Source organism: Homo sapiens, chromosome 1, assembly GCF_000001405.40.
Source record: "Homo sapiens chromosome 1, GRCh38.p14 Primary Assembly".
Classification (NCBI taxonomy): domain Eukaryota; kingdom Metazoa; phylum Chordata; class Mammalia; order Primates; family Hominidae; genus Homo; species Homo sapiens.
In genome coordinates, this window is record NC_000001.11 from 70000544 (window position 1) to 70013219 (window position 12676).

Here is a 12676-nt window from a genome sequence, read left to right on the forward strand (position 1 = left end):
CATTCAGTAATCGTACCACTCTTCTTGTTCACTAGGCTTCAGCCACACTGGCCCTTCTCCTGTGCCTCCAATAAGCTGGGCTTTTCCCTGTCTCAGGGCTTTCTTATTTGTTGTTACCTCTACCTGAAATATTCTTTCCCCACTCTTCATAAGGCTGACTACTTCACATCCTCTAGGTCCATACTCTTAAACATCAGTGAGCATTCAAATTATCTGGGAATTTTGTTTAAAAGGCCGGTTCTGATCCAGTAGGTCTGGGACCTGAAGGGCCTGGGTTCTGCCCTTGTCACAAGCTCCTAGGTGATGTTAACAATGCTGCAGATTCACGGGAAACATTGTGAATAACAAGGCTATAGATTTAGATTTAAATATATCTTCCACAGTGAGGCCTTCCCTAAATGACTTTCCACCAATATAATCACCAGCAAATTTCCTGTCCCTGTTCCGACTGTTTCTTTCATGATACTTTTCGCAACCTATAATTTTTATTTTGTCATCTCATTATTTTATTCTGTCTCATAATGTATATACCTCACCTCAATTAAGATCATTTTTGTTTCCCAGCTCCAGAATTGTATAGTTTCTGAAAATTATCAACACTAGATCCTAACCTACTTTTGTTTTTGATTCCATTATAGTTGTTGTATAGTAATCAGAACAACTATATAGAAATCGAAATCAGTGTTCTTTAGTAAGAGGATGAGAATATCAAACATTAATGATGTTTGTAATGAGTATGGCTTCATATTTAGAACTGTCATGCACCTACTCTCCTACTGAATGCCTTGATTCAGAGTTAAAATACAAAATAAGAAATAGAGAAATAAAAAAAAGAAATAGAGAAATTATGCAAGTGAATATGGATGCTAGGTTATTCACATACTTCGTTTTATTCTCATTTTAGTTTTAATGGATAATTATCTTAAAAGTATTAAAAAGTTTTATCAAAAATAAAAGTTTCATAAATGGCCAAACGATTTATGTTTTTAATGAAACATTCTATCTGTAACTTGGGGCAATGAAAGCCTGGAAATGTAAAGACCAGACGCAGTGACCGAAAATATTCTTATTCTGCACACGGAATATTTCAGTATTTCAGACTTATCTTAAAAACTCCTGGAAGAATTCATTTTTCACAGTTAAAATGGATTCCATGACATTTGTGCCAAATGACTTGTAAAATTAGTTATTTTGTTGTTGCTGAACCTTACTATGTGCCTGGGAGTTTCAGCAGCTCTAAGAGTTGAATATCAAATAATAATGAGCGCCTTTTTTTGTACTCACAGTGTTCCAGACCTCATGTTTGGTGCTTTCTTTACAGGTATTATCTTATTTACTTAAAGGCCTCATTAGCATTATTTGATATGTATTATGTCCTTATCAACAGATACAGAAACAGAGGCAGAGAGAAGTCACCAGACTTCAATGCCAAGCTGTTAACTGAACTATATGTGATGCGTCTTTATATATATATGTGATAGTTGTAAATATGTTATTTTGTAAATAACTTCATATTTGGTCATTCAGTGGGTCCCATAAGTCTAGCTGCGAAGGAGATACCACAGACTGAGCCTTATGTTCTTAGCTTTGTAGTCTTGGGTAAAAGCAATGAAAACTTAGAAATCTGAAAGGTTGTTTTTAAAAGCTATTCCTTCATAGAGTGTGGTCAAACAGAAAGACTGCTGGACTAGGAATCAGAAAATCTAAGTGTCTATGCAAAGCTAGATAAATCCCTTCTTCTCTATGGGCATCAGAATCCTGAAGGGTAATACATGTGGCTTTGAGATGTGAAGTGACTTGCCAAAGGTCATTAATAGCTATGACATAAAAGCAAGCTTCATGGACAAATAATTTTGGAGGACTCTGTATACAAGTTAAAGAAACACTGCTAACTTATCATTTCTTTTTCCAGATGTAATATCAGTCTCATGTTTATCTTTTGTATCATCATTTAACTTGTTGCTTATTTTGCCATGTCTTCTCAACTAGAATATAGGCTCCTTGAGGGCTGGATCATGTCTTGAACATTTCTCATTTCCTTCATTGTGCCAAGAGAGTATGGCCCAGAGGATTGTTTGCAAGCCTTGGAACTAGACTTTGGTTTTGATCCTGGCTCCTCCACCCATTCACTAACTGACCATGGGCAAGTCATTTCATGTCTCAGAGCCACATTTTTCTCATCTGTAAAATGGAAATAATAATAATTGTCAGAAATTGTTGTGGCACTTAGAACTAGATAGGCTTCAATAAATTATTACAGTCATTATTTTATTAATAGTAAAATCCAAAAAGACATTTATTTACTGATCATTGCTTATGTTCATCTATATGAGGTTTGGTGATATAACATGAATGAAATATCTGGTTCTAAAAAAGAAAAATATAAGTATTTGCAAATGTAGTAATAGTACAATGTCTTAGTCTGCTCCGGCTAACATAACAAAATATCATGGATGGGGTGGCATAAACAATAGATGTTTACTTCTCACAGTTGTGGAAGCTGGGGAGTCCAAGTTCAAGGCACCAGCAAGGTAGGTTTTATTCTGAGCCCTCTTCTCTTGGCTTGTAGGCGACCACCATGTTGCTGTGAGTTTACATGACCTCTTTGCATGGGTTGGTTGTCGGAGGGAAGAACAAGCCCTGGTTTCTCTTCTTGTAAAGGCATTAATCCCATCATGAGGGCCCCACCCTTATGACTTTATCCAACTCTAAATTACCTCCCTAAGGCCCCATCTCCAAATACCATCACATTGGGGATTAACACTTCAACATATGAATTTTGGAGGGAAACATTCAGTCCATAACATATATCTTTTAAACTTACAACATCTACTCTTAGGAGATGAGGTGTTTGAAATTGTTTCCATGCTTTGTGACAGAGTCCTGAAGAATAAACTGTTTTGAATCATAGCAGTTGGTTTTCAAGTCAAAGAACTTAGAGCAATTTAAAAAAGAAAAGAAAACAAATAATGCATTTGCCAGAGTAATAAAGGCATCTTCACATCGGCACACACAAAGTTATTGAGAAAAGTACAAAGAAATGATCAAATGGAATTTCACTGATGATTGTATAAGATTTCAGTTAAAGCACAAAACCACTAATGATATCCATTTAAGAGTCATCCTCCTTCACTGCCTACTTCCTCCTCCACTTCCTTCCCCAGCATTTCAGAATTGTGACTGTTTATGTCCTGTGGGCAAATATTAATTGCAGTACTTACTCCTGCATGCATGAAATGTTTCCATATTTTTCATTAGTTAAGAAATCTTTCAGTCTCCCAACTTGGAACATATAGTATCTTTAAAAAAAAAAATAGTCTTTGCTAATGAATGAAGCTATTCTCTACTCATCAGTTGCAGATATGTTCACTAAAAAATACTTTAAACAATATTTCACATTTGGATGATATTTTTCTCCAATAATCTAACGTAATTTTTTTGCAAATTCTATTTTCAAGCAGTCTAATCAACTTTCTAAATAGTGAAAAGGAAAGCAACGGTTTCTAGTTGTTTTAGATAGATGGGAAAATTGGGTTCAAATGAAAAGTTTATTATCTCTATGATAATGATAGCTGCTTAAAATCACTCAACATTTCAGAGGTAAAATCTAGATGATTTTGTTTCTAATGAATGCGTTTTCGTCATACTTTCACTGAATTCAGCATAGGCCGTGAGATTTGGTACTAAAATGGGGTGTGTTTTACTTGGAAAACAGTATAGAAAAGAATTAGTCTGACTAAAGTTTGCAAATTTCCTACCATTATTTAGAAGCAGCCCAAGCAACTTATGTAATGTTAAAAAGAAAATTAAGAATGGAACCTAAAACTTGATTCCTAGCCTAAATTAAGTGAAATTGATTGTAGAATCTCTGAAAATGAGTATAGCAGCAAAAGTTACTTAACATTTGCTATGTGCCCATTCTAAGTGTTTTACATGTACTAATTCCTTTGTGTGTGTTTAGGCCTTATGACACGTGGTTAAGTACTGCTGTCACCCACTTTTGCTCAGTGATGAAACTGAGGTACACAGTAATTAAGTAACTAGTAATTATTAGGGTCTAGACTCCAATCCCAGCTGCCTAGCTGCAGTTGGGTGTCTACTTTCGGTTATACTGGCATTTTTAGACAGTGAATAGTTAAGCAGCTCACCTTTGCCAAACAAATCTCTCTCTCTCTCTCTCCCCCCGGCTCTCTCTCCCTCTCTTTCTCTGTCTCTCTCCCTCTTCCTCCTTCCCTTCCTCCCTGCCTCTACCACCCTGCCTGTCTCTCTCTCCTATATTCCTCTCTACTTCTCTACTAAATCTTTGTTAATACAATAATAGTTTTTCAGAGTCATCTGAAATTTACCTCTCCCACATATTACTAAACAATTTTACATTTTGTGGAATAGAAGTCAGTTTTATTTTATGAAACAACTGATCTTAACAAGGGAATATCGCAGGACAACTTTTACACGCTTCAGAAATAGATTGTTCAAGATTCGTTTTTTTTTTTCCAGGTACTCTACCTCGTAACAGACCACTTTAATGGGATGTGATATCTATTCCATTTAGCATTCAGGGGTTTTGCATATATTTACTCTTCATTGAAACTCTATATGTTAGATGTTATCAACCAATTTTATCGGTGAGAAAACAGGGGTTAATAGTAGATAAAGGTCACTCAGCTATTAAGTATCTACACTAGAATTGGAGCCCACGCCTGTCTCAATATTTTCCACTGAATTACATTACTTCTGTTAAGAATTAAAAGTGAATTAAGAAGGTGAAGCCCAAAGCCAATTATTTTTATATTTATTATCATCTACATTGATCATAGATTAATTATATCTAATGGTCACCAATGATGTTAAAGTGAAATTATAAATTATCTATGTAGTATATTCACAATCTTTCTTCCCTATTAGCTAGGTAATTGAGGGTTAATGATACAGTAATATTTTCCTATCCAAGAGCAACTCATGAACATGAAACTAAAGTAGAGAAAACTGTACAGAATATTTTTAGAAACTGAAGTCAATACAGCTGATTTCAAACATTATTACTCCCAGTAGCATCATTCATTCTGAAGCATACATGACCTAAACACAACTATTGTAATATTTATATGTAGTTTAGCATTTATTGATATGTCTATTTTATGTGTTTAAATGATACTCTTGATAGATTTGGAAAGGTTTTATTTAAATCCTTGCAACTTATTGTGTGGCCCCTGCACTGGCAGCATCTCATCATCTAGGAGCTGGTTATACATGCAGGACCTGGGCCTCTCCCCAAACCACTGAATCATAATCTGCATTTTATTAAGTTCTCCTTGTGACTGGCATGCACACTGAAGTTTGGGAAACACTGCTTTAAAGTACTTCACACATTCTTTGCAACTTATTTTTACTTTCCACAATTATAAAAATAAAGCATCTGAAAAAATAAAGGTAACCTTTGGTCTTTTTTTTTTCACTTCATTACAAATGTCAGTGGCAATCTGATTAAATATGATAACTGTTTTAATACCGGATTTTGTATTAAAACAACTTAAATGATTTTTAACAAAATAGCCACCAACAAGGTCAGCTGGAATTGTAGGTTATGAGTTTGAATCTCTGGAATTTTAGAGATCATTGAGGAATATGTGTTTTGCATCTGGAAGATCTTTGTTGCAACCCAAAGATGTAAAATACTTTCAGGCTCTAAATTATTAATTCCTTATTGCCCATGGTGCAGTCAAAATGTTTTTTTAATACAGGAAGTCCTTGCTCTGCAGAGTAGTGCGGGACTGTATAGAAATCACCAAACAATTGTGGGCGCCTGTATTCCCAGCTACTGGGGAGGCTGAGGAAGGAGAATCGCTTGAACCCGGGAGGCAGAGGCTGCAGTGAGCCAAGATCGCAACACTGCACTCCAGCCTGGGCGACAGAGCAAGACTCAGTCTCAAAAAAAAAAAAAAAGAAAGAAAGAAATCACCAATATGTGTTTTTCCTACTGAATTATCAACACTCAACACAGACTAGTTTTGATCGCTGATGTGTATGGGATTTCCCACACCAAGCAACTTTGCAGTTCTCAGTGGATACCAGCTGGGTGCCCTACAGTTTAACTCAATTTCGACACACCTACCTGAAGTTAGAATCAGATCCCACAGGTTCAGGGCTCAGTCCCACAAAACTATCCCCCCTTTTCAGATGCCAATCACAAGTCCAGGCCTCCTGTACTTCTGGCTGACCACCTATAAATTGGGGCTCCCTATCACTCCCTCCTGAGGTTTAATCACTTGCTAGAATGGCTCACAAAAATCAGGAAAACACATTAACCAGTTTATTATAAAGAATATTACAAGGGATACAAATGAGCAGCCACATGAACAGGTACAAAAGGAAAGGTGTGTGAGAAGGGATGAGGAGCTTCCATGTCCTTGCTGGGTGTGCCACCTGCCCAGCATTTCTGTGTGTTTAGCAACATGGAAGCTCTCCAAGCCTTGACCTTTTGGGTTTTTGTGGAGTCTTCATTATATTGGCCTGATGGATCACATCATTGCCCATTGCTGATCAACTCAACGTTCAGCCTCTCTCCCCTCCCCAGAGGTCAGGGGGTGAGACCGAAACTTCCAGCCCTCTAATCACAAGGTGGTTCCCTTGGCAACCAGCCCCCATTCTGAGGCTATCCCAGAGCCCTTAGCCATAAGTCATTTCATTAGCATCCAGAAAGACGCTTATCACTTTGGCAATTCCAAGGGTTTTAGGAATTCTGTGCCAAGAACTGGATGAAGGTCAAATATGTATTTCTTATTATAAATCACAATATTTCACAGGGATCGTAAAAATGACCTTGCAATCTGAAACTGTGCAAAACAGTCTTAATAATCAATGGGAAACATTATGATTGTTCTTAGAAAAGGTCTTTAAAACCTTTTGTCCAAGCATTAAATACTGTTAATGTAGGTTACAAATGCATAGGAAAAATGAAAAAAATAGTAAAACTAATAGTTATTTTTGTATAATGTAATATTAAACATTAGAAACACTGAGAATTAAGGCTTATTTTAATTTAAAAAACATATCAGGGTTAGTTTGAACAATGCTTGCCGTCTTTTCATGATACGTTGTTAAACAGTGTGAACATCTTTTCTTTGCATTAATGAATTGTCATGTTCCTTTTAAGTTTAGATCCACTTCCAAAATTTTATCTTTTGTGCTTTCAGTGTCATGAGATATCTCTGAAAGTTCCTTTAATGTGAGGTTTATTGCCAGCAACTTCCTCTGGGACATCTTCATTCTTTTCATCACACTTTCCTCATTTATGTATATAAGTTTGCCTTCACTAGGTCCTCTAGAAGCTTATCTAGAGTCTTCCTAGTAGTAGCAGTGTCAGCATTCCCATGGGCAACTATTTCTTGTATGATTTCATTTACGTTAGATTCAAATTTATTTGTACAATGTGCTTGTATTAGTCAGGGTTCTCTTAGGGGAATAGAACTAATCAGAGATATATATATATATGAGCTTATTAAGTATTAACTTACACGATGACAAGGTCCCACAATAGGCTGTCAGCAAGCTGAGGAGCAAGGAAGCCACTCCTAGTCCCAAAACTGAAGAACTTGGAGTCCAATGTTTGAGGGCAGGAAGCATCCAGCACAGGAGAAAGATGTAGGCTGGGGGGCTAGGCCCATCTCGCCTTTTCACATTTTTCTGCCTGCTTTACATTCACTGGAAGCTGATTAGATTGTTCCCACCAGATTAAGGGTGGATCTGCCTGCTCCAGCCCACTGACTCAAATGTTAATCTCTTTTGGCAACACCTACACAGACACACCCAGAATTAATACTTTGTATCCCTCAATCCAATCAAGTTCACATTCAGTATTAACCATCACAGTGCTAAAAGTTTATTCTATGCTCTATGCATATTACTTATTGTCACTTTCTGCCATGATGCTTGAATGTTTTAAATTGTATGTTTCATGTCATATTTCATCTAGAACACAGGTAAAGAAACTGCATGATCACCAGTTGTAGCATGAATACCCTATTCAAAAGTCTGTTTAAGATAATACACTTTAAAAGTTGAAATAACTCCTTGGTCTATAGGCTGGATTAATGACGTTTTCCTTGGTGGTATAAAGCAAATTTTCACATTTTAATTTCAATCTCCAAGAGAATTAGGGTGACCAAGAGCATTATCCAATAGTTGTAGTGCTTTAATGGTTAAATTATTTGGTCTATAGTATCTGTCTACTGCTGAGAGACAGGAAGGCAACACATGTTTTGCTGTCTGTGTGTGAGCCAAATAACAGAAGGGCAATGACCAATCATTGACAGACTTTGAAGGAAGTGACGTGACCGGTCACTGATCACAATGTACATCTGTTATTCACATTGTAATATGTGGACTGAAGAAACTGAGATGCAGTTACTCATCTGAATACCAAGGTAACTGAAATTTGAGCCAGTTTGTTGGGAGACTGGTGTTGTTGAATGAAACATGACAACTGAAATGTTCACACATTGGAATTGTGCAAGGTGACAACCACCTTACCAAGACCAAGACTAACTTCAATACATGTTTTTATTATAAAAAAAGAAAAAAGAGAGAAACCTTAATTATATTATTTTCATTAAATACCTTCTTTAACTTCTGCCCCTGAACATAAATCTGTAATTTTTATTTTAAAAAATTCCTAGTATTTATGACTCCTTGCTGAGTACACGACCCCAAACTATTGATAGAGACCTCTTTTATGCAATTCTAAAAAATTTATTGAGTGCATTATATATGTAAGACCCAGTGCTAGACTTTCTTTTTTTTCTTTCTTTCTTTCTTTTTTTTTTTTTTTTGAGAAACAAACTCTGTTACTAGATCCCTCACATATATGGATTCCTGCCCCCACAAACACACATACACAGAGTAACACAGTTATGTACACTTGGCATCCCAGCAACATAACCATCCCTGCAAATGAGGGGCCTCAAAGGATGTTGAAACAAATTTAACCGGTTTACTGATAATAAGAGGAAAAATGTACTGAACATGTATTTTATGACAGGTACTGTGCTAAGTTCTTAATAACATTTCATTTTAGAGCCACTGCATGAGGCAGGCATTATTAGTATCCTCATTGTAAATATAAAGAATCTCCAGCTTAGAGAGAATTTCTATGATTTGTCAATATAAAAGGAAAAATGTTTACTTAAGCAATACTTTCCTAAGAGCTGTTACTCAAAATTGAATGCTGTGTTTCACCACAACTCATTCTAATCAGCTGAATCTGTTAAGGTGATGAAGTTTGAATGACCTTGGTCAGAGTCAGACTGATCCTAATTGCATTAGATTTTTTCATGACCCATGGACAGTGGTACTTGATTTGCTTAGCTGCACACAGACTTGTGCACTCATCCCACCCTCTCTATAATGCAAATTTTCAACCCTTAGTGAGTATAATCATCATGACCCACTATCACCAGCCCCTCAGTCACTGATTTTTCCCCTCAGAGTGCTACTCAGTGAATTTCTTCCCTGATGTATTCCCTTGCATATCAGATAAATAAAATCTGCTTTGTTTTTTGAGCTGTGGTGTTCTGTATTTAATTTATTGATACCCAAGATAATACAGTTAGTAAGTTACAAAGCTGGGACACAAATCCATTCTGACTTCAACCCATATGCTTAATTTCTGTGTTCAATTGTTAAATAAATAATGGAAGCAAATTGCATTCAAGCTAACTAGTTTTAACATAAAAAAGGATGCTGACCAGGCACAGTGGCTCACGCCTGTAATCCCAGCACTTTGGGAGGCTGAGGAAGGTAGATTACTTGAGGTCAGGAGTTTGAGACCAGCCTGGCCAACATGGCAAAACCCCATCTCTACTAAAAATACAAAAATTAGCTGGGCGTGGTGGCAGGAGCCTATATCCCAGCTACTTGGGAGGCTGAGACAGGAGCATCACTTGAACCCAGGAAGTGGGGGTTGCAGTGAGCTGAGTTTGTGCCACTGCACTCCAGCCTGGATGACAGAGCAAGACTACATCTCAACAAAAGAAAAAAAAAGGATTCTAATTCTACAACCTTACTCCACCTAACTCAAATTCATTTTTCCCTTTACATTGGTAGAATCTTCACCCCTGGGGGTTCCTTCCTATTATAATAATAGCAATATAATAGGAATAGTAAGAACAGTTTAATAATAATTTCAACAATACCAACGCCAACTGCAATGTATCTGGTGCTTACTCTGTGCCAGGCCCTTTTTTCCCAGCTATCTCAAACCAGGCATTGAAGTGTCTTGTTGCCTTGTGATAATTTCAATGTACATCTATACAATTCCTTTCTGTAGATCTGAAGTAAAGCCGGCTAAGTATGGACTGGTAGGGATTGTGACAAACTGGAGGCACACTGAAGAATTATGCCCATTTGAAGGCAGCAGCTATTAATCCATTTCCATTACTTGTCATGGAAGAATACAGACCCCGTATTGACAGAGCTTTCTCTGTTTCAAGAGGCATCAAAACTCTGGATCATTATGTAAAATTTTAAATACTTATATAATTTAACACTTTCTAAAATACCACTATATAAATCAAACAAAACACATCTGCAGGCTGAAATGAGCCCTGTCCATAGCACCTGCTAAGAGGCAGGATAATACAGTGACTCTCTACTGTCTGCATTTAATTCCCAGAGTTGTTATTTTGTGTGGCTTTGAAGAAGTTAGCCCCTTTAAGCCTCAATTTTCTTATCTGTAAAATGGGCTTTAAAATATTACATATCTTAAATAGTTTTTATGAGGAAGAGAATTGGTGGTTTTTTTTTTCTTTAATCTCTAAAATGCTTAGTAAAATACCTAACATTTTATCAATGTTTTGTTTTTATTGTTTCTCCCAACTCAATCATCCCCTGGACCTGCCCTCTCCACCCTTCTCCTTACCCCATGACAGTTATAGTCACTCATTCCAAGGATACACATTCTGAACATCTGGCTACAAAGAACACCTAAGTTGTAAACAAATGAAAAATTATTTTGTCGTTTTCAATGGCTGTTAAATAACAGGTAAATTTAGAAAGGGAAAAAGTAAACTATATTTATTTTACCAAGTTAAACCATTTATTTGATAGTATTAAATCATTTGAACTGGTAAATTATATAATATTATGTTGTTACCGCATGAATAACTTTTGTTTTGGTGAATTTTGGATATGTGGCTTTTTCAAAACATTTTGCTATCTAACTTTTAAAATGTCTAACTAATGTATTTAACTTTTCAGTTTATCTTTATTAGAAGAATTTGACTGTAGCTGTAATGAACTGGAGTCACTACCTTCTACTATTGGCTACCTTCATAGTCTTCGGACATTAGCAGTTGATGAGAATTTCCTTCCAGAATTACCCAGAGAAGTGAGAAATAAACTTGTTTTCTATTTATTAACTTTTAATTAATCTGTTTTGGAGTAAAATCTTAACAGGTAGAATAGCAATGTAGATTCATGAGTTGAGCTGTGAATATATATAGGAATTATCTACATATATATTTGCTAATTATTCTATTTTAAATGACAAGTTCTTATATTTGACCCAGAAATTGCATTTGACTTAAATCTCGCATGCAAATAAAAGTAAGAAAATAAAAGTTAATTAATGCTAGGAAATATCATTTAAAGTCAGTTAATTTATATCTTTTGGTTTTCAGAATAGTTATAAATAATATTTTGGAGTAATTACATTTATATTTCTGTAGCAAACTTTTTAAATGTACATATGCTTTTTAAGGTATCATGCTGCATTATAATATTATTTTAACTTCTGGATCCACCAAGAGATTCTGTTAATTTTTACATCTAAGTGGGATTTTACTTACTAATATCAAAAAAGTATAAAGTACATTTTTTAAATTTACTTGGTGCTCAAGTTTGCTGTATGTGAAGTACATTTTCAATTGAGCATTTTCTACTAAACATTCTTATAATGATGCAACAATAAACAACATATAATTATCTTAGAGCCAAAACATATTATTAAAAATGACGAAAAACACTTTAATGTGAAGCAAAACTAACTTTGCCTAGGAAATGTCAACAATATTGTATTTTTGAGTGTGTATGATCTTCTGTTATAAACAAAGATATATTAGTACTCACTTCGACAGACAAAATTATATGATATATGAAAACAATAATGTTAGCAAGTATTTTAAGCATAAAATTATAAAGAAAATTCTTCATTTTTAATATGTAAAAGAAAATTTGGTATAAATTCCCTTAATATCTAAAATAATATATATAATATACCTATATTTTAAAGAGCTACATTATAAAAACAAAACAATGCACATGTTAAAAGTTAAAAATAAGAAAATCTACTAAATTGTTTTAAAAATTAGAAAAATTAATATAAAAATAGTATTGTGGTCTGATTTTTTTACCTATTTTCTTTTGTTACCTACAGATTGGAAGTTGTAAGAATGTAACAGTCATGTCTCTACGCTCCAACAAATTAGAATTTCTTCCTGAAGAGATTGGACAGATGCAGAAACTAAGAGTCCTAAATTTGAGTGACAACAGGTATTTTTGCAACATTTCACAATCACATATTAGTTATTTGCTGAAAGCAAATTATAGTTTTTTTGCCTATAGTTTTGATAACATTTTCTGCGTTTCGACATATACGGAATGCAAATACTGATACTTTCCT

At 35.2% G+C, this 12676-nt stretch overlaps 1 protein-coding gene across 6 annotated transcripts in view; it reads left to right on the plus strand.

The window, feature by feature from the left end:
* Nucleotides 1–12676, plus strand: part of LRRC7 (leucine rich repeat containing 7) — a 576443-nt gene that overhangs the window by 432622 nt on the left and 131145 nt on the right. For all 6 annotated transcript variants that reach the window (NM_001330635.3, NM_001366839.3, NM_001370785.2 and 3 more), the window contains 2 exons: nucleotides 11254–11383; nucleotides 12431–12546. In NM_001330635.3, the coding sequence (NP_001317564.1) occupies nucleotides 11254–11383; nucleotides 12431–12546 (246 nt within the window). The remainder of the gene's footprint in view (nucleotides 1–11253; nucleotides 11384–12430; nucleotides 12547–12676) is intronic.